At 40.0% G+C, this 22761-nt stretch overlaps 1 long non-coding RNA gene across 2 annotated transcripts in view, besides 2 other annotated features; it reads left to right on the top strand.

Annotated features, from left to right (window-relative positions):
- The first annotated feature begins 2215 nt into the window (after positions 1–2215).
- Positions 2216–22761, top strand: part of LOC105374492 (uncharacterized) — a 153067-nt gene continuing 132521 nt past the window's right edge. The window contains exon 1 of one of the 2 annotated variants that reach the window (XR_001741374.1): positions 2216–2469. This is a non-coding gene — a long non-coding RNA (uncharacterized LOC105374492). Of the gene's footprint in view, positions 2470–15305; positions 15783–22761 lie in introns of those variants that run through there. The other variant, XR_925406.4, reaches the window with a different exon arrangement.
- Positions 14917–15431: an enhancer, noted in NCBI's record as "H3K27ac-H3K4me1 hESC enhancer chr4:12611317-12611831 (GRCh37/hg19 assembly coordinates)". NCBI's record gives its function as "activates a minimal SCP1, AML or CMV promoter by ChIP-STARR-seq in primed H9 embryonic stem cells {active_cell/tissue: H9 hESC(primed)}" and the evidence as "EXISTENCE:reporter gene assay evidence [ECO:0000049][PMID:30033119]".
- Positions 15432–15947: an enhancer, noted in NCBI's record as "H3K27ac-H3K4me1 hESC enhancer chr4:12610801-12611316 (GRCh37/hg19 assembly coordinates)". NCBI's record gives its function as "activates a minimal SCP1, AML or CMV promoter by ChIP-STARR-seq in naive H9 embryonic stem cells {active_cell/tissue: H9 hESC(naive)}" and the evidence as "EXISTENCE:reporter gene assay evidence [ECO:0000049][PMID:30033119]".

Genomic DNA, 22761 nt, shown 5'->3' with positions numbered 1-22761 from the left:
GATTTCCTGCTGCAGGGATCAGGAAACTGAGATGCTTATCCATCACTTGTCATGTGGCATTACCTAAAGACTGCTTTCAGGATCATCCACTACCTTGTATCTCTGGCCTGCCCCATGCTCAGCAGAGAAAATCTGAGCAGAGAATGTCAGGTGCTTTTGGCAGAAGGCATTGGCATACATGGGGTGGTAAGTATAATATCAATGGGATATTGGCAGAGCACAAGAAAAGAGTCCAGTGCAGTGAGGTAAGGAAAAAGAGAAGCAAATTCTTCTTAACACTAATTATTTCTTCTCCAGCCTATCTAAGATTCACAAGATTTGGGAGCAGTCAAGTAGCATTTTCTTTCTGTTTATGATTTCCCTCTGAGACTATCATTGCTTTAGGCAAATGCATTCATGTGAAGAATCATTTTTCTCCATGTCTGAGCCTATAATAAATGTCAACCCTTTTTTGGCAACTGCAACTAATGCTGCAGACCTACCATTACTAAAAATGAAATTACACATGTTAGGACCCCAGATCAATGTATTTCAAGGGACATTTAAGATCACTCTGGACAGGCAATGGAATCTCTCCACCTCTGTAGCTATGAGCCTCCTTCTGGAAAAAAAGATAAAATTTTTACTTGATTTTTTTTCTCTTTCTCTTAGTGCTTGGATCAAGCAAAAAAAATGCAAATGAAATTTCTAGCCTTGTTAATTCCCCTGAAATCTAGCATCCTCTCTAAAATACTTGGTAAAACTAAGCACCCAGGAAACAAAGTTTAAAGTCTTTAAGGTGTGCTCAGTGTAGCCTGTAAGGTGTTTAATAAATAGCCCTTAAATTTGCATAGAAATCATAGGCCATTGGAGCAAAAAGTAAGCTCAGGCAATGTCACAGAAAATGCTTCATTTTACAGGTGAGAGAAATGAATCCCAGAGAGAATTGGTTTGCACAAAACTACACGTCCGTTTAGTGGCACAGCAAAAACCAGAATTAAGGTGGTCTGACACTCATTCCAATAATTTTCATGGTTTTTTATGTTTTAAGCTTTGATAGAAAGACTTTTGTGCATTATCTCATTTAAAGAAACTAATGAGATGGTAAGTCATTTACAAGTCAGTCATCTGGGTAAGAGCAGGGGATCCTCTGGGATCTGAATGCTTGGGTTCAAATTCCAGCTCCAACATGTGTCACCTGCATGACCCTGAACGATCTTTCTGTGCTTCCCTTTTCTCCACGGTAAGCAATGGCATCTATCTCAGTACCCTTAAAACGATTGCATGAAATACTGGTAAGCAATGACAACTATCTCAGTACCCTTGAAATGAGTGCTTGAAATGCTACAAGCAAGTGTCTAGAGAGTGCCTGGACCACAGTTAGTACTCCATAAATCTGAAGCGACATGATGTCATCTTCACAACAGCTCTCAAAGGTAGGTGTTATCATCCTCATTGTACAAATGAAGAAACAGAAATTTACCAATGTGTCTCAGTAGCAAGTGGGAGAGCTGTACCTCAAACTTGGGAGGAAATTCCCTAAAGCTTTAACCACCAGAGACTTACCACTTTTGCTTTTCTTTTTTTAATGTTAATTTTTATTTTAAGTTCTGGGGTACATGTGCAGCATGTGCAGGTTTTTTACAGAGATAAACCTGTGCCATGGTGGTTTGTTGTACCTATCAACCCATCACCTATGTATTAAGCCCAGCATGCACTAGCTATTTTTCCTAATGCTCTCCTTCTCCCCACTGCCCCCCACCCCTGACAGGCCCCAGTATGTGTTGTTTCCTTCCCTGTGTCTACATGTTCTCATTGCTCAGCTCCCACTTATAAGTGAGAACATGCGGTGTTTGGTTTTCTGTTCCTGTGTTAGTTTGCTGAGGATAATGGCTTCCAGCTTCATCCATGTCCCTGCAAGGGACATGGTCTCATTCGTTTTTATGGCTGTGTAGTATTTCATTGTGTAAATGTACCACATTTTCTTCATCCAGTCTATCATTGATGGCCATTTGGGTTGATTCCATGTCTTTGCTATTGTGAATAGCGCTGCAATGAACATTCATGAGCATGTATCTTTGTAGTAGAATGATTTCTATTCCTTTGGATATACACCCAGCAATGGGATTGTTGGGTCCAATGGCATTTCTAGTCCTAGATCTTTGAGTTGCCATACCTTTATTTATTTATTTATCTATCTGAGACAGGGTCTCTCTCTGTCACACAGGTTGGAAGAGTTCTCACTATCTTGCCCAGGCTGAGGAGAGAGGATTGCCTCTCTCCTCAGCCTCCCAAACTCCTGGAATTAGAGGCTTGAGCTACTTCACCTGACCTCTTTTTCTTTTTAATTGCAGATACTCATGCAGTGATGATACGTGTCAATCATTTGACGTCAAATGTATTTTTCATTCCATCTGGCAAATCATATCCCTCTTCTTGAATGGAATTCCTCTGTCACTCTGGGTCTTTCAATTCACCTTGAAGTGTCCAGTGAGTACTGTTCTCATTTCATACCCTTCACTGGTTTGGCATAGCCATGGATCGAGGACAATATTATTCCTTTTCAAAAATATTGCATCTGTAATTCCTCAAATTTCAACATAATGATATGAGTTCTTATTAATGATATTTTAAGACAATTTTTCACCTTTTTCCATGTGCTCTACAAAATGCCTACCACTAGCTGCTCCTTTACATTTTGCCTTATGTAGGGTAGTTAACTTCCCTCTAGGTCTCTACTCAACTGGCCTTAAATTTTGTTCCTGTCATCAAAGAGTTCATAATTTAAGAGAAAACTTTGGGCATATAGAAAAATATCTACAATAAGGCAAATGTCAATGGAGTAAAACATGTTACAGACTTACATATAGATAATAAAATGGGAAATAATAAAATGTAACATACATTTTATTTATATAAGGAGAATTTTAAGATTAAAGCTAGCAATTATAGAGTATCAGTGCTTTTTCTAAACCAAAATATGTAGCTTGGAATAGAGGGAAATTAAGCTGTAAGATAACATATAAAAGACAATGCGAAAAATTGTAAAATGTCCTGAAATGGAGGGTGGTTCCTCTGACAACAAGATGTAAGAGTAACATTTCTGAACATATTAATATACTTACAAAGCAATGTCTCAATCAGAATGAGGTTGGATATGGCAGGTAACACAGAAAGAGAAGAATCAGAAAAATTAATGTTAGCAGTGTCCAATCAATCACTTGCCATTGGCAAGGACTTACTGTAGATATATAGCTCAATTACCATTGATTATGGAATTCTAACTTTTTATGGGGTCCTTGTTCTTTCTGTATTTGCCAAGGGGTATCAGGAAGATATTGCACTAATGACAAAGATTTTAAACGTTGCTATTCCCTGTCATAATGATTTCTCATAGTTTAATTAATAACAGTTCCTAGTTATAATATGGGTTCCCAAGTTCATTGGCCACAGAAGAAGAAAAGATATACAAGAGATCTGAATATCTCTGGCCAACAAGATCGTTACATTTATCATCATAAATTGATACTCTGAGAACATACCAGTTTTGTATTGTGTGTTCAGTGAGTCATTATCTCAGTGCCTTATTGTGCCTAGGTGCTGGTAAAAGTCTAAGCCTTTAAAGTAGAGTCAGACCCAGCAAGACTCTCTCTTAGAAGTCATCGATATCAGGTTCATGTCTGTCTTCTATTGATATCTATACTTTAAAGGCAAAATATTATTTTACTAGCCCTATCAGTGTTCCTTGGAGGAAATCAATTGCCCTTGATGGCCACACTGATGTTGAAATTGAGGGTTGAGAACATGATGTAAAAGAAACAAACTTGGCATGTGAAATCAACATAGATTTAAGACTGATGGGGAGAGAGGCATGACAGAATGCAGGTATAGAAGATTTAAAGGTGCTCATTATCATGGAGGAAATCTGAATCTCTATTGGCATGAATGGCCAATAAAATTTTTTTATTTCAATGATACATTAGAAGCCTTGTTAGTCTTCTAGGCAAATAAAGGCTAATAGAGAGCTATGTTACTGTTATTGTTGTTGCTGGACTTAAGAGAAGGGAGCTACATATCAGATTTGTTTTGACATGAGCCTAAATAGAGACACCAAATGCAAGTGACTCACAAACAAAATTAAATCAGAGGAAACAGAAACTGATCATCTGTAAGTCACCCCCACACCATTCTAGTATTCCTGGAATGCTTGGGGAGGGTGATTTTTCTACTGCTTTTGAATTTGAAACCACAGGATGTTCAGTTGACCTTTGAATTTTATTGGGTAAAAAATACTCTTTTACTTATAATCACAGCAATGCATTAATAATGGAAAGGAGGTATCATATCATATTGGGGAAATCAGAGAACATTTCATGGATGATGCAGCAGCCAAGTGAGGCTTTGAATTATAAGCCATATTTGATAAGCAAAATAGATATGGGTGGTTAAATAGAGGAGGTGGGAAAATAAACTTCATAGAAAGATAGTTCTGAGCATTTGTAAAAATAAAAGAACTGCTTGGTGATTATAGGGAAGACCATTTAGTTGATGGAAGAGCTACTAGCTATGGAGCTGAAACCAAGAGGTCCTAAACCCATATCATATTTGAGAAATCATCATAAGGCAATTAATAGAACCTGTGAGCCACTGAAAAACTGTAAAACAAGAAGCTAGAAATTGTGTGTGAACTCAGGGTCAGGGGGAAAGCAAACATGAACCTCTTGGGCTTTCTCTTGAGTATCAATGGAAGATGGGCCCAAACCACTGAAGATGGGCCCAAACCACTGAAGGCTGCTTCGCTCATGTAAGTGGTATAGCTCAGGAGGGTGGGTGAATAAATGCCTGCAAGGGAATTCTTTACTACTGGAGAATGAGAGCCAGGGAGTGGATGCTCTCCTTTCATCATTCAGAGAGATAATGCTGAAGCTCATCCTGGCAGGTTCCATAGAAAATTCCCAGGAGCACAGAGCCCCAGGCATTCACCATAGGAACCTGGTTTATAATGCATGTTTCCCTTTCCATGTCTCGATCTTCCCATTCCCTCAGCCCTGTTTCCAGAGATCACCTCCCAAATAAGTATGCTCACACATCCTTGTCTAAAGATCTGTTTTATGATATGTATAAATTATGAAAATATTTGAGAGGACTGGGTGCTGTGAGATGCAGACAGGGTAAAGCTGTAATATTCTGTATCCTAATCAGCTAATGGTGCTTAAGGAAAGGGTGGATTCTTGGGGAGCTGGGGAAATAAGTCTGTATGAATAAGCTGGAATCAGAATGCAAAGGGTCTAGATCCCTAGATTAAGACTTTGAAAATTTAAACCATTGAACCTACTAAAATTGGGAGGGAGAGGGCTCAGATCTAACAGGATACCTTTTCATTTTGGGGCGAAGATTCACATGCTTAGAGTTGAGAGATGAATTTAGAAAGACTCAGAGAGCAAAGAGACAAAAGTCTCTTGCCATAGTAATAAAAAATGGATGACATTTTTTCATTATCCCCTCTCAGTTTAAATTCTCTATGGCATTAAGGTATTTACATTTGTAGTCTTAGGCTAAATAATCAATTTTCCTTCAATGAAAAGAAATTCCTTTTCCTTCCTGGGTGTATATATTAAATATGTCTTTGTAATCCTCTTACTGACACAAAAAATTCTTAATATGCCTTTGATTTTGGACTGAAGTTCTAGCAGTTGATTTTGGGAGAAGGCATTTGAAAACCCTCTCAGATTATCCTGGCTCATTAGATTACTTAAATTATACTAGTTAGATTATTTATATACCACTAGTTAGATTATTATACTAGTTATTTGATGAAAGGTGAAGACTAGCCTCTTCTTTGGAGGACTTGCCTCCACAATGGTGAAACACATGAAAATGGGAAATGTTTTAGCTTAGAATCGCTGAACACAGGATCAATATTTATCATGGAGTTTGCTGACATCCCATTAAGAAAGGTTCAGCTGCAATTTGGAGAAATGCATTTGGTAGGGTTGAGAGGGAAATCGGCTTTCCATTGAATGCAGAAGGCAATTCATAATGAAATTCAAAACTGAGTAAAATTGGTCCAATCTAAAAACCCAGGAAAGAAATTTAAGTCTTTTTAGAAGAACTCAGTCAAGTTTCAAATCAATAGGAGCTGATTTATTATTTGAGGCATGTAATAAAAAAACAAATTTCTGCTGGGCTTCAAAGTGCCAGTGCAATTAGAATTTCTGAGCTTTGGCAGAATCTGGAAGCAGAGACAAAGAAATAAATAGAAAGGCAGGAACAAACATCACTAAAAATTAGTTTGAAGAATTTTTAATGTCTTCCAGTTCCTTGCCCTGGAATCCAAAGCCCACAGGTCTGATCCTTAGCACACGTTTTTAACCGTGTGACAGGATTTAAAATAAGACTTTTTTTGGGTCTTCTCTGAGGCATCTAAAAGCCAAGAATACAACAAAGAATGGAAGAGCAGGAGCTCCTGCATTCCACTGTTGGCTTCCTGTCCTTTAGACCTCAAGTTTTGTCTTTGACAGGCCAGGTAGAAGCATTTCCTTAGAGATACTGAGTTCCAGAGTGTTCTCCTTCCTTTCATGGTGGTGACAAAAATTATGCTTTTCCTCTCACTTCAACTCAGATGAGCAGAGATTTAAGGGGACTCCTTGCAGAACTATAAGCTGAGGGCCACAGAGACAGAGTGGAGTGTGAGAGAGACCTGGTTGTAAAAGAAGCTAATTATACCCTCACTCATGGCATGGGGACAGGAAGCACAGGTTTTCCACATGGGTCACTGGGAGAGATGGCAAGCAGAGCCACTCTTGTTTCTACCTTCAGTTTCCTCATCCCGTGTATTCTAACCAGTGACACTGCAACATATATACAATTCTGAGTCAAAAATAGCAAAATATGTGATATGAAAAGTGGATCCTGTAATCAGGGGTCTACACAAAATTACCCTGAGGCCTTGCAAGAAGGGAAGGAAAACCGATAACTAAACCCAGAATACATGTGTATTCATTTGTCTCCTCTTGCCAAGATGAATCGCTGACTTCTAAGAGTGGATGGAATCCAATGTAGATATCTTGCTATCAAGTGGCCACTTGGTATCCTCAAGAAATGGTGACATACGGAGAGTAAGAATTGCACTCTTGATGATAGGTTGAACTCTGGCCACGGCAATAGCTAGACCAGCTTTGGCTAACAGCAGGGCTGGGGGTCCATGCTGTGGGGCCCATGTACATCCTTCCTCTCTGTCACCATGGCCTCTTCATTTATACTCCAATTCTTCCAGAACTGGGGTGGCCAGTATAGAAGCTGGCTTACCCCATGTGGCCAAGGTATTTGTCTCCTTAATTGGTTAGTGCCTCTTTCATGGCAAATGCTCACTGGTGAAAATCAACATATAAAGACTTCCTGCTTGGTGCTCTCCTCCATCTTCTTGTCTGTCCACATCCCTCTACCCTAGACCTACTTGTTACTGAACTTCCAATCTTTTTTCTTCCACACTCCTGCCAGTCAGCCAGGTCATTTGCCACTCTCTAAGTTTCATATATAATCTGACCTCAGGGAACTTCTTTTTTGATATAAAATAGATAACCAAATGCACCACCTGATATGGTTTGGATCTGTGTTCCTGCCCAAATCTCATGTTCAGCTGTAATCCCCAGTGTTGGAGATGGGGCCTGGTGGGAGGTGACTGGATCATGGGGACAGATTTCTCATGAATGGTTAATGCCATTCTTCATGGTACTGTCCTCACAACAGTGAGTGAGTTCTCATGTGAGCTGGTCATTAGTGGCTCACACTTGTAATCTCAGCACTTTGGGAGGCTGAGGCGGGTGGATCACCTGAGGTCAGGAGTTCAAGACCAGCCTGGCCCACATAGTGAAACCCCGTGTCTACAAAAAATACAAAAAAAATAGCCAGGCATGGCATTGTACACCTGTAATCCCAGCTATTTGGGAGGCTGAGGCAGGAGAATTGCTTGAACCCGGGAGGCAGAGGTTGCAGTGAGCCAAGATCGTGCCACTGCACTCCAGCCTGGGTGACAGAGCAAGACTCTGTCTCAAAAAAAAAGAAAAAAAGAAAAAAAGTGTATAGCACCTCTCCACTCGCCCTCTTGCTCCTGCTCTGGCGATGTGATATGCCTGCTTCCCCTTCCCCTTCTGCCTTGATTGTAACTTTCCTGAGGCCTCCCCAGAAATGGAGCAGATGTCAGCATCATGCTTTCCATACAGTCTGCAGAACCGTGAGCCAATTAAACCTCTTTTCTTTATAAATTACACAGTCTCAAGTATTTCTTTCTAGTGACACAAGAATGGCATAAGACACCACCCAAATCTCTGCTCAGTGGGATAAATTTCCCTCACAACTATCTATCAAGACCATCCCTGAATAGGTGTCATTCATTCACATCCCTTATAGGCTTATATTCATACAGTGAAAGCTTACCCACTGTCAACTTATATGCATACTAGAAAACCTCAATTTCCTGATCTGCCAGCTTTATACTCACCTCCCTTCATTCAGTCACCAGATGGAAGCTGCCTTGCAAAGGACATGGCCTTCATGAAACAGAGATCTCCCCAGCAGGGGCAGACTCTGGAGAATATAGCAGCTGGAGACTGTCACTTGACCACACTTCCTAGGGCTAGATAATGCAGCCTTAATGAAGGGGATCTGAGCAGTGCGTCTCCAGGCCCACTGCAGAACTCTACTGTGAACATCCATATTCATCTATCCACGTGCATTCAGGGAACAGTTCCGCCAGAATTCTGGTGGCCTCTCCTATTGAGGGGAAGCTGTAAGATGAAAGTTAGAGGACACACTGGAGCTAGAAGGCTTCAGCTCCAGTGTGTCCTTCAGGGCTGTGATTGATACTGGTCACCTCCCTCCTTCATTGTCCATTCTAGGCTCCTTCTCTCCCCAGCTACCATCACCTCTGGTCATGAGGGCTTACAAACCCAGACCCTCATCCCTGAGAGACCGACCGCCTGAGTATTGTGTGCTTCTCAGTCAGTGGCTGCTCTGCCTATTTTTTTACCCTAATAATTAGAGAAGAGAATATACTAAGAGGTGCTCCAGTGAGTCACGGGGAGTCCTCATGGATTCCTTTCTGCCTGCCTGAGGGCATGGATCAGACCTGCAGCTATATCCTTTACCCAGTGCCGGGCACATACTCAACAAATATCTGTGCAATGAGTAACGATCTTCTTGTATTTACGAGTACTGGTGCCTTCACCTGTAATTCATGCTCACACCAAATTCCTAGTCACTATAACGATTTATTACTTAAATTGCAGCCCAGAAGATCTGTATTATTATTACTAATAAAGAGAAGACACAATATAAACTATGACTCAAAAGAGTTTTCCACTAGTTCCTGAAAGCTACATTCTCTCATCTCCTTTTTGCTCCAGATTAATTTGTACACCTCCATGCAAAGATGTTGCAAAGCAACTATCCTTATTTATATCTCATGGCTTATTAAAATTAATTTCTGCACGTGAAACTATTTGAGACTATTCCATTACAAACTTTTAGAAAGTCTAGCAGGAGCTACAGCTTCATTCAGTTAATACATTAAACACCATATTATCAGTAACTTATTATCTCCTCAGCTGGATTGGGGAATTGGAGGAATAATAAATAAAAAGTGACCTCTTTCTGTAGCATACAGTACCTGCAGAAGGAAACGGTAGGTGCCATTATAGAATGTGCTACAGAAAAAGACTCAAGGAGAGAGTTATCAACTGAGCCAGAAGGAGGTATGGAGCTCAGCACACAGGAAGGGAGGATTCCCAGAGGATGAGTGAGCTGGTCTGGGAATGATGATCAGCTTGAGGAGAAGATTTCAGGCAGAGTGAAAGCACAGAAGCCTTGAGAAAGAGCTAGTACACCATCACCAGGGAACAGTGAGTAGCTTGATACTGTGTGTATAGAGAAGAATACAGACCATGGGGTGCCTTCGGCGACACACTGAAGAATTGTGAATTAGAGCATGAATGATGATAATGTCAGAGACGTTTGAACCAGAGCAACTCCATTGTGAATAGAAGGTGGGTAAAATGAGGCTGAGACCTACTGGGCTGCATTCCCAGGCAGTTAAGGCATTCTGAGTCATAGGATGAGATAAGAAGTCAGCACAAGATACAAGTCATAAACACCTTGCTGATAAAACAGGTTTCAGTAAAGAAGCTGGGTAAAACTCACCAAAACCAAAATGGTCACAAGAGTAACCTCTGGTCATCCTCACTGCTACACTCACTCCCACCAGCACCATGACAGTTTACAAATGCCATGGCAATGTCAGGAAGTTACTCTATATAGTTTTCAAAGGAGAGGCATGAATAATCTACCCCTTTTTTAGCATATCATTAAGAAATAACCATAAAAATGGGCAACCAGCAGCCCTCGGGGCTACTCTGTCTATGGAGTAGCCATTCTTTTGTTCCTTTACTTTCCTAATAAACTTGCTTTCACTTTATGGACTCTCCCTAAATTCTTTATTGTGCAAGATCCAAGAACCCTCTCTTAGGGCCTGGATTGAGACCCCTTTCCTGCAACAATAATACTTAAAGGCTTTAAGCAAAGATGCAATGGAATATAATATATCATTATAGTGAAAATGTAAAAGATGAATGGAATGAAAGCTTGTGCAAGTGATGAGGCACTAGAGGGGAAACAAAGAACAAAAAGAAGAAAGAAAAGAAGGAAAGGAAAGGAAGGAAAGAAAGGAAAGGAAGGAAGGAAAGGAAGGAAAGAAAGAAGGAAAGAAAGAAAGAAAGAAAGAAAGAAAGAAAGAAAGAAAGAAAGAAAGAAAGAAAAGAAAAGAAAAGGAAGGGAAAGAGAAAGAGAAAGAAAAAGAAAGAAAGAAGAGAGGAAAGAGAAAGAAAAAGAAAGAAAGAAAGAAGGAAAGAAAGAAAGAAAGAGAGAGAAGACCCACAGAATTTAATGCTGGATAGTGATAAAAACTAAAACACATCTACTGGAATTTGTGGTGAGATGTTCCCATAATATATGTGAAGTGGTGAATGCAGAATTCACTGCAATGGACTGGAAACAAACTGGGTCCAGTGAGCCTATGCTTGTCTTTTTAGAAACTTCTATTTTCTCCACAAATGCTGAGTGTCCACAATGTATTAGGCATTATGCTTAAGTTAGAGAAATAATGTAATTTTTTCCCAGCAAAAATTCAGGATCCAGTATTCTCTAGGGGAACATTTTAGCTAACTAAACTAAAGTTTCTTAAGTGCTTATTGTTATTACCGAGATCTGTGCTAGACATTTGTTGTATTTTATCCCATTCATTTGAAGTAGGTATTGCTGTCCTAGTCTTACAGATAAGGAAGTGGGGAGTCTGCAAAACTGAGAGAAACTAATAAATTTACCGATGATATTTTAATACTAGTTGTACCTGGTATAACCAGAGTAGGTTACAAATCTGGTGTTTTTCCACTATTCTGTTAGGTGCATACCTTTATTATGTTTCCCTCTAAGCCCTAGATAATTGGGAAGTGAAAAAGGAAAAAAAATGCAGAATAAATATGTGTATGGGCCTCAGGTATATTTTAGCTCTAGGAGATAAAGTCATATATTTCTGTATGGCTCATACCCTCTATCAAAGGCATGGGTGTCCACAAAATGATTAGTGTTCGGCTCAAGTGAATTGTCTGCAAATATTAAAAATTCTAGTTTGGGCTAAGATTTATGTGTAGCTTAACCCAAACTAGAGTTGTTAATACTTTCAGAAAATAAAACCTCCCCAATGTAGACTATTTCTCCAATAGACATTCATTGGGCACTTGCTACGTGACAGCCCTCTCTCCCACCTGTAGGCAATGGAGTTCTCTGTTGCCTCCTGTGCTTGCCTTGATAAATGAGTTCAAACATTTTTCATTGCAGCTTACAAAAATTCAATCCAAACTAACTGAAGTTAAATTTAATTTCAGTTAAAGTGGACTATTTAATTAAAATACAAAGTCAAGAGGCTGACTAAATTTAGGCCTGACCTCACAGAAATGTTCCTGCAGTGTCTTTGAAATTTGATCTCTGTTTTGCTAGCTCAATTCTTCCTTCACGGATATTGATTTCATTCTTAGGTGGACTCTCCGTGTGTGGTCGAAAGATAGCTCCCTGCAGATCTAGGCTTACATTCTACCACCAGACAACTCTAGAGGGAAGAAACTCTCACTTGCCTATTAGTTCCTATCAAAGTCCCAGAAGTAAATTTAAATATCTTGTTCAGCATACGCACATCCTGAGGACAAAGCTTTGGGGTCAGGCTACCTGAACCAGTGGTGCCAAAAGTAGAGAGGAAAGTCTGATTCTTCAAGCAAGTAAGAGAAAAATAATTGAATGCTTCAAAGACAAAGCCATAGCTGTCCATCCTGTTTCACAACATTGATCACACTAATCACGCTGTATTTCTGTTGTCTATCTCCCTCACTCGACCCAAGCCCAGCAGGTTACATTCATACATCTCTTCATCATTTATTTCTCCAATAGACATTTATTGGGCACTTGCTATGTGACAGGAACTCTACTAAATTCTGAGTAGTGATAAATAAGGTGAACAGTTTCTCTGGCCTCACAGAACTTACGGTCTATTGTGGAGGTAGACATTGAAAAAGGTTGACAAGTCTTATGAAAGAAGAACTATGAAGTCCTAGAGTCCTCTAGTAGACTAGAACAGAGAGATTTATATTACTCTAAGAAGTCAGGCAGGCTTTCCCAAGTAAGAAATAGATATAAGTATAATTATAGCTATAGATCTCAATAGATGTTTCCTAAATAAGAAAATAATTGAATATGTGGGTACTGTCTTATTTTTTAAATTTAATTTAAGTTCTGGGATACATGTGCAGGATGTGCAAGTTTGTTACATAGGTAAACATGTGCCATGGTAATTTGCTACACCTGTCAACCCATCACCTAAGTATTAAGCCCCACACATGTTATCTATTTATCCTGCTACTCTCCCCCCACACCCCAGGGCCTAGTGTGTGTTGTTCCCCTCTTTGTGTCCATGTGGTCTCATTGTTCAGTTCCCACTTATAAATGAGAACATACGATGTTTAGTTTTCTGTTCCTGTGTTAGTTTGCTGAGGATAATGGCTTCCAACTCCATGCATGTCCCTTCAAAGGACATGATCTCGTTCCTTTTTATGGCTGCATAGTATACCATGGTGTATATGTACCACATTTTCTTTATCCAGTCTATCATTGATGGGCATTTGGGTTGATTGCATGTCTTGCTATTGTGAATAGTGCTGCAGTAAATATACACGTGCATGTATCTTTAAAATAGAATGATTTATATTCTTTGGGTATATGCCCAGTAATAAGATTGCTGGCTCAAATGGTATTTCTGGTTCTAGGACTTTGAGGAATTGTCACACTGCCTTCCACAATGGTTAAACTAATTTACATTTGGGGCGCTATTTTAAATGGCTATAATAATGTCTCATGTAAGCTATTTCATTTTGCAAAAGACCTAACATTTGCTCATACACTATGCACAATGCATAGGAAATATGCATATATGTGTGTATATTTATCTACTGTTCATTACATATTTGTTTTGAGTAAGTGTAAAAGATCAATGATACAAGCGTGTACACAGTAGGGAGATTGGGTCCTGATGAGGCTGGAGAACTGAACAGGGACCCCATCATAGGATCATGTGACAAAACTAAAGGTTTGCAATACCAGGAGCCCTTGAAAGATTTTAAGTTAGGGAACACCAGATTTGCCTTTTGGAAAGGTCATTTGGCTACAATGTGGAGAGTAAATTGCTAGGGAAGGTTGGGTATTAGGAGTGGAAACGAGATCATTATCCTCCCAATAGACTCCCCCTGAAAAAATGAACGCATGGCTCTTTTGGCCCTACCATTCTGCATGGATTATAAATGGCTGACATGTTATCTTATTTAGGGATTTCATTTTCTATCACACCTTCACCTGTACTTACTCACTTACTTCAGATAGATAATGTTGAGAAAGGGTCTAGCAATTTTTTTTCAAAGCCACAAGACTAGGAATGCCCAGGTGCCTGACATCGTTTACAGTCCGAGGAGACGCGGGCACTAGACCTGAAACTCACAGTCCTCCTATGTGCAGTCAAGGCAGCTTGAGACAGCAGAACTTGAGGCACTCCTTCTGCCATTGTCTTGATTTGTAATCTTTGTAATTCATGCTCCTGAGTTTTTGTGCTCCCTCCCTTCCATAAAAGTGGGGTACGAATACAATTTTCTGTGCTTTCACTCGGCAGGATAATTGTACTCATTAAATGGGAAAAGGTGTGTGCAAGTGCTTTGTGAATTCATTCATTCTTTTAACAATTTATTAAGTGCCTATTATACATCACAAGCTGAACCACATATTTATAATACACATTCAAATAAGAGAACAAAACAGAAATAAAAGCAATAATTAAATTACAGTGTATCAGTTTTTATAAAAAAAATAAGCAGAGAATGCTCTCATAGATACACACCATCAGGAGAAGCCTTTCGTCCATTTCATATGGGTGTGGGGCATGATCGGAGAAGGATGCCTACAGGAAGGCGTACTCAAGCTTAATTTTCAAAACACTGAATGTTTATTGATATTTTCAATTATTTTTTATTCTGAATTAATATTTAAAAGTACTATTTGTCTTATTAGCTGCATGAAAGAGGACTTTAGAAGAGTCTGTTTAGATTCTTTTAGCATGCAGGTACGGGGAGATTTCCTCAGAGTGGGTCTTCCCACTCCTATGCAGATGGTTCCCAGCGAGAGGGCAAATTCCTTTCCAGAGGGAACCTCGGTGCAGCGGCTGGCACTTCTGATGTACTTGCATAACTGTCAATTTTTACCCCAAATTTGTTTCCTCTGTGTACATGCTATAAATCACCTGGATTTTATTAGGGAGGTCTTGTATTTCTTAACAAGGTAACGTCTTTGGGAGGCAAGTCTGTTTGCCTGGGCCGTGAGCAAATAACATTTAAAACAATGTCCTCCGAGCTGGTACTCTGGTGAGATCAAATGGATTGAAATACAGGACGAAGTTTGTTTTATAAACCAAACCTCATCTTTTATGACTCTCATGCTTGCCTCTGGACTCTGAAAGATTCTAAGCTTGAAATAATCGAAGCAATAAGGGGTATTTTCTACTTGCAAAGGAAAGTTTTAGTTTATTTGCTTATTTTTCCCCCTTTTCCTTTCCTTTTTTCCTTTTTTTTTTATGCCAGAGCTTATAAACATGCAGATAAATAATCGAAGCAATAAGGGGCGGGGGGAGGTGGGGGAGACTCAGGCATGGCGGGCTGCAGGTCCCGAGGAGCCCTGCCCTGCAGGGAGGCAGCTAAGGCCCGGGGAGAAATCGAGCACAGCAGCTGCTGGCCCAGGTGCTAAGCCCCTCACTGCCCGGGGCTTGCAGGCCTGCCGGCTGCTCTAAATGCGGCCCGCCGAGCCCTCGCCCACCCGGAACTCTCGCTGGCCCGCAAGCGCCGCGCGCAGCCCCGGTTCCCACCCTCGTCTCTCCCTCCACACCTCCCCGGAAGCTGAGGGAGCCGGCTCCGGCCTTGGCCAGCCCAGAAAGGGGCTCCCACAGTGCAGCGGCGGGCTGAAGGGCTCCTCAAGCGCGGCCAGAGTGGGCGCCAAGGCCGAGGAGGCGCCGAGAGCGAGCAAGGGCTGCGAGCGCTGCCAGCATGCTGTCACCTCTCAACAACACCATTGACATTTTGTGCAGCTGAAGGCAGCAGGCCAGATGGACAATGTGACTAATGTGGAGTCACACTCCAGAAGGAGTCAGATGCATGCATTCTGCTTCCTAGGTCAGTGTTCTTCCCTTTCATATTGCTTTTATTTTCATTTTTGTGACTGAGTGCAAACTGCTAGCTCACTTAAGTGCTTAGTGCATACTGTCTTTTTGGTTATTTTCCTTTGTGGTAATATCTCCTCAGGGATTCATCTGAGTCTTTGAAATCAACCTACCTACATGTTAAAAAAAATGCAGTGAAAAATGCTATATTCTATGCCTATATGCTATTCTAGAGACAATTTTAGAATGAAAGGAAATTATCTCTGTTAGAGCCTTCGGGGAGCTTAGATTTCTGATATAAAAATGGGAACGCAGTTTTCCTCTATCTCCCATTTTAGGACGTCAGCTTCTATTATTTTATTGCTGGCAACCTAGAAAAGGGAAAAAGGAAAATAAAACCATGCCATTCTAGAAATAGTGACCTAATTTCAGCCCTAGAAAAAAGTAAGAGTCAGAGGAAAAAAAAAATCCTCAGGAAGAACAGGAATATCATGATTCAGAATTAAGGTATGTTAACAACATTCTGTATGGCAGAGGCCGAAATGGTAAGACAGAGAAGAGATTATTTGACCTGCGTACAAGCACCTGGCCAGATTTGGGAAGGGGACCTGACAGCACTCAGTTTATTGGACCTGTATCTTGCCTTTAGCCAAACCATGCTAATTAAAAGTTAGCAAATATGCTAATTAAAAGTTAGCAAATGAATGTTGGGAATTCGAGTTCTAAACACAGTTCTAAACTTGGGAATCTCTTAATAAGGACCACTGGCTCTGCCTTTGAGGGCATCAGATCCCAAAAGCAAGCAAGCCCCATGAAGTCTAGAAACCAGAGAAAGAAACTGTTTATCAATCTGTAGTCACAAAAACCTTGAGCAAAGACAGGTGTCTCTTCCTAGGAGAAGCAAACACAGTCACAAGAGAAAAGCAATTGCTGCATTAATAAGTAAAAAGGGAACAGAAGGATTTTTCTTTAGAACGGATGCATGGGATTTTCTTTGGTGATGTAATCTGTATTATATACGGGTTCACGTAAGAATGAACTCCTTGGAGTTTGTGTCTGGATCTCAGGCAAGTTGAAGGGTAAGGTCAGTTCCACAGGCTTAAGGCAAATTTCCTCATCTGTAAAATGGAATAGGAGGATCTTTCTTGCAGAGTTTATGAGGATTGAGTGGGTTACACTAAGGTCCTGGTACAATGCCTAGTACAGATATGACAGTTAACAAGTTACTTCTCTTCCTTCCATTAATGATGGCAAAACATTTAAAGTTTTGCCAGAATGCTGGGCAATTATTAGGGAGATAAAGGTGGATACAAAAAGAAAGATCAGGGGAAAAAAGAACAACCTGAGAAGAATAGAAAACTGGATATAACAAGTTTTATGTTTTTACACTTCTGATAAGAGTGTTCCTTTTATCAGGGCTTTGCAAGTAGGGACCGGGTATTATTTCCCAAAATGGTGAGTAAAGAAGCAACTAGATGCATTTGAGCTTTCAAAAAGGTAGAGACAACTAACCACATGTTAAGGTTTTATTTTTGAAAAGTTTTTAGAAAATTCCTAAAAAGCTTGCCATGCACTGTGGTTGTAATTGCCAAATTTCACGTGTAGTTGCTCTCAACTTCTATATCCCATTCAAATTCTTGATCATTTATTTGACTTTTCTTTCTCCATAACTTTTAATTCATCACTTGCCTGTGTGCTTGGGAAGTTCCTCATTTTGGCCTCTCTCAGGAGACCTCTCTCCATGCTAGGCAGGCGGACATTGTGATGTGTATCTTAGCCCCCCGGTTTTCCTTTTAAGGAACCCCTGAGAATGGTAATATTATTATCCCTATTTTACAGAAGAGTTGGCTTACATTTAAAAGCAGTAGTAGTGAACCCCAGAGGCACCTTGCCTGGCTTTAAATTTTGGTCCCCTATTTACTAGCTGTGTGATTTTGAGCAAGTTGCTTAACCTCTCTGTGTCTCAGATTCCTGATCTGTTAAAAGAGAATAATACTTTTGCATTATGGTTATTGTAAAGCTGATAATGCATGCTATGTGCTTAGCAGAGTACCTTGCACTAAGCGAGTTTAGGATAAATATTAGCCATTATTGTTATGAGAGAGGTTAAATATCCCGCTCCTAGAAATATCAGCAGCCCCTGTAAAAGGCATGTCAGCCTGTTTCTGGAGCCATTGTTCTCCACCACTCTAGGGTGTATGCACCTCATGCGTTGTGTTATTTTATGAATCGAATTGAAGGCCAAGTGCTATAGTCTTTGGAAAAAAATTATTACAGCTTACAAAAGATCAGAAAAATTTATTTTAGAAATTTGAAGGTATCAGAACATTGTAAATATTTGATTCATCCTATAACTGAAATTGAAGGATGGATATATATGATTTGCAAATAAAATAAAAGTACACATAAAGTGATTCAGTTTGAGTATCTCCAGTAATGGAAATGGCAAGAAAGTGGCATTTCTTGCAAGGATAATGAACAATTTACAAGAGAAGTAAATACAATCTGTAGCTCATTAAAGTCTTAGCAATAAGCACCTGTGGTAAAAAGAAACTTATTAGGGCTTGAATGCGGGCTAGACTAGGTGTGGTGACGGATGACACTAAGAGTTTTATGTGGGGGGTGGAAGGGCAATTCAAGAGGGATAAAGTAATATAATGGTAATAGGCTGCCTCTTTCTGTGGTTCTGAACAGAAGAGGAAAGAGCCATTTAGGAGAGGGAACTGGCCAGCTTCCCTTCTCTGAAGGCATATGCCTCAAGGATGCCCTACTTAGCACTGACATTGCGGAATTGTTCTCCTGTTTCTCTGAATTTTTTAGAACAAAAAGATTTAAGATATTTGAGCCCCTAGATGAGGTCCTGCTTATTCGGCAGCTCTTTCTTGACTCTTTCTATCTCACCCTTTCTAAGGAGCTCAGAGTCTGAGCTTGATTTTAAAATCTGTGTAACTGTGTGATATTATAACAATCACTTCTCTGGAAAAATGTTGAGCACAATGGAAGAACAGAGGAAAAGCAGCAACTCTGTCTGGGATTGTGAGAAACAAGATCACTTCCCCAAGTTTCTTGTCATATGCGTAGGAATTTTTTAGGTAGAGGAGAGAAAAGGAACTGCATGTGAAAGGGAATGGTGACAAGTGCATTTGGGGGAGGTGGCCGGGAAAAAACACGTTTATTATCTCCTCTTTGAAATGTGGGGGTCCAAGCCATATGTGCTTGAAAATTTTGAATTTTTCAGATTTTTGAAAGAACTTTGTTCAGTTCCTCCAAGTTTAACTGTTCTTCCCTCATTAAGACTTTTTTTTTTTTTTTTTGTATGAGCACTGGCCCGAATCAGTGCTTCCTCAGGTTATAGCTTTTATGAATCATTACATTTTCCTCGTCTCTGTGGGAATTGGCCTCTCCCCAATTTCCTGCATTGGTCTATAGTTTTCCTTAAGAACTTGAAAAGCAAAAATTAGACTTTGTTGTATAGAATAAGTGGTGAATGAGCACATGCACCAGAAATCAACATAAGAATAAGTCCTTTTGAGTGTTCAAAACTGGTGTATTATTTGTGACTCAGACTCCTTAAATTTCGTTTACATGTAGCAATTTACTTTAGAACTCAGTATTCATATGTTCAAACGATTTTTTGTCCTCTCTGTGTTCTCTCCAACCCCCACTCCCATCCTATTAACAAGCACTTCCCAAAGGTCCGATTTTATTGTACTCATCTAATTGATAAGCGTGCTCAATTTATATCAGTGACAGTTTAGCATATTTTAGAAAATTTTACATTACATGATTTCATGAATTGGAACAAGACAGGGTTCATTCAGCATTGTACAAATGAACAAGGGGTGGGTATATATGTGTGTTGCTCACATTACTAAACTATTACAGTGTTATTCAAACTTGAACATGCATCAAGCTCACCTAGAGGTTCTTATTTCCAGAGTTTATCATGCAGGAGGTCTGGGATAGGGCCTGATAATCTGTATTTCTAATAAGCTTCCAGGCTATGCTGCTGCTGCTGTCCCAGAGACCACACTTTGAGAACCACCAGGCGTTAGCAATCTAGGGGGATAATTCACTAGAGGGAGTGAAGGAGGCTCCACCAGCTGGCTGTTGACATTCACTGAAGGAACGGAGGGATGATAGGTCTGAATGCTCAGCAGATGAAAGAAATAGAAGGATGGTGAACAAATGTGGAATTAAGAAATATGCCTTAGACCCTTCTGAAGCACAAGTCGATGACTTCTTGGGGCTGGGAAGCAGTGCAAGGCAGGAGGCAGAAATGGAGCAACTGAGGTTCAGTTATGACTTCTTGATGAGGACATTATAGGGAAGCAGGAGAAGGAAGGGTACAGAGATCAAACTTCCACACACAACAGCCCTCGTTTCAAATCCAGGGTCTTCCAATTTACCCAGGTGTTTTGATGTTTTTATGAGTTAACCTCCCTGACTCTCAATTGTCTTCTCTGTGAAGTGTGGGCAGTTGTGGTAACCTCATGGAGACTAAAACTGCGTCAGACACTAGCTACAAAATAAAATACTAAAATACTTCTTTTAGTCATAATGAAAGGGTCAGCTAATGACGATCACAATTCTGGACCCATGGATCACATTTAATATGTATTTGTGTCCAAGCAGAACTTATAATGATTGGATTAACATAATAAATTTGAGGCATAGCAGATAATGAAAAACTGCAGAAGAGCCAGGTCCCTCACTCTCTATTACTGGGAATGCAGAAGAGTTATGGTTGAACTAAAGCAAAAAAAAAAAAAAACAATAATAATAAAGACAATAACAGCAATGAATATTTATTGAATTCCTTCTGAATTTCTATGAGCCATGCCACCACAATTTTAAAATGTGTATATATACACACTCGTGTGTGTATGTGTTTGTACAATCCTTCACAGAACTCTATAATAAAATAGGCATTATTAGCAGTCCATCTTACTTTGAGAAAAACTGAGATACAGGCAAGGTATAGACCATATAAGAAATACCCCAGAGGCATAAAATTTAACATTTAGCATTAAATAAGTTCAAAGGTATTGAGCTTTCCTTGATCCGTATGTATCTTGCCCTGTCTTTGTTTGTTCCATAGTATCTCTTTATTGTTCCAAGATCTTAAATATTCCATTAAAAATTTCTATAGCAATCCATTTGCTATGTTCACAATCCCTCACCATGTTTCTGACATTTTCTCTCCGTTCCTGGCATGCTGCTTTTTTCTAAATGTGTGATTAATGGTAACCTCCAAAGACCAAGGTGGTGCAACCAGTTGTGGCTGTGCTTGTTTCCTTTCCATATCCAATCATGAAGGGCAGGGCATAATACAGTATCAGCCATCCTGTGGGAGAGTGGAGGTCAGCACTACCTCCCTGGCTAGTCAGATTGACTTTTTCAGAAAGAGTTACCAACCTGGTTTCCAGCAGTGGACCAGGCTTCAAAGGGAACACTAGCCTGGCCTACTCACAGAGATTGCTCTGCTTTCAGAGAAAGTTGACAACCAAACACCCTTGCTATTAATCACCTCCTAACTCAAACTCTGACTCCTGAGCTGGCTTAGCATCTCATTATCTAGCTATGTCTTCCTGCCTTTCGTTGTTTCTCCTTACCTCCATCCCTAGCTTCAGGAGACTCTCCACCTTTTTCACCTGTGCCCTGTTGAGAATGAGCAATGCCCTAGTCTAGAATACCAGAAAATGTAAGAATTTAGTAAGTAAAACATATTATTCTAAGGGGATCAAGTCAGTATAGTTTGTTGCTTTAAGCTAAAAGGCTATAAGAGATAATTGGCACCCTATATTGAAATAGAAAAGTTGCCACTATTTCTAGAGGTTGTTATGTGGGTGAAATTGCTTAAACTTCAAAATTAAAGTCAGTTTGAAATTTATAATTTTATGGCTTAGGGCTTTTTAGTGATACTGTTGAGCAAACAATAACATTCTCACCTTGCAGGAGCGTTTTTTAAGATATGATAGATATCCTATTTTTTTGGATATGAATATAGAAGAAAGATTCCCCTCATTTAGGGAATCCTTATGTTTTGTTTTCTTTCTTTTTTTGTTTTTTGAGACAAAATCTCGCTCTTGTCCCCCAGGCCGGAGTGTGATGGTGCAATCTCGGCTCAAGCAATTCTCCTGCCTTGGCCTCCCAAGTAGCTGGGATTACAGGCACCTGCCACCATGCCCGGCTAATTTTTGTGTTTTTAGTAGAGACTGGGTTTCACCATGTTGGCCAGGCTGGTCTAGAACTCCTGATCTCAGGTGATCCACCTGCCTCAGCCTCCCAAAGTGCTGGGATTACAGGCGTCAGCCACCGTGCCCGGCCCCCTCTCCTGTTTTCGTAGCTTTTTCAATGCCTATCTTTATTACTGAGTTTATAATAATACACTGAAATAATCTACTTACAGCTACTTCTCACATGGGCCTATGAGTTAGTGGGACCCTGTCTTATTCATAACTGTATCCTCAGCATCTAACTCAGTGCTTGGGGCATAAAATGTGTCTTAGAGAATGTTTGTCAAGTAGAACTCAATTGAGGTGGGACTAAAGACATTGGTAGGAGGGGTTGTTTTCAGATTAAGGGATATTATGAATGTTTGTGGTATTACAGCTGTGATAGTTAATTTTAATTTTATGTGTCAGTTTGACTAGATCATGGAATGGCTAGATATACAATTAAATAATAATATATCCGTGCAAAAGTATTGTGGTTTTTGCCATTGAAAGCAATGGCAAAAACCACAACTACTTTTGTACTGATTATATGGTTTGGCTGTGTCCCCATCCAAATCTCATCTTGAATTGTAACTCCCACAATATCCATGTGTCATGAGAAGAACCCGGTGGGAGGTAATTGAATTACGGGGGTGGACCTTTCCTGTGCTGTTCTCATGATAGTGAATGAGTCTCATGAGATCTGATGGTTTTAAAAACGGGAGTTTCCCTGCACAAGTTCTCTCTCTTGTCCCTGCCATGTAAGAAGTGCCT

The sequence above is a fragment of the Homo sapiens genome, chromosome 4, assembly GCF_000001405.40.
Source record: "Homo sapiens chromosome 4, GRCh38.p14 Primary Assembly".
In the NCBI taxonomy this organism is placed as follows: Eukaryota; Metazoa; Chordata; class Mammalia; order Primates; family Hominidae; genus Homo; species Homo sapiens.
The sequence above is the reverse complement of the archived record's forward strand: the minus strand, read 5'-3'. Positions and strand labels throughout refer to the sequence as shown.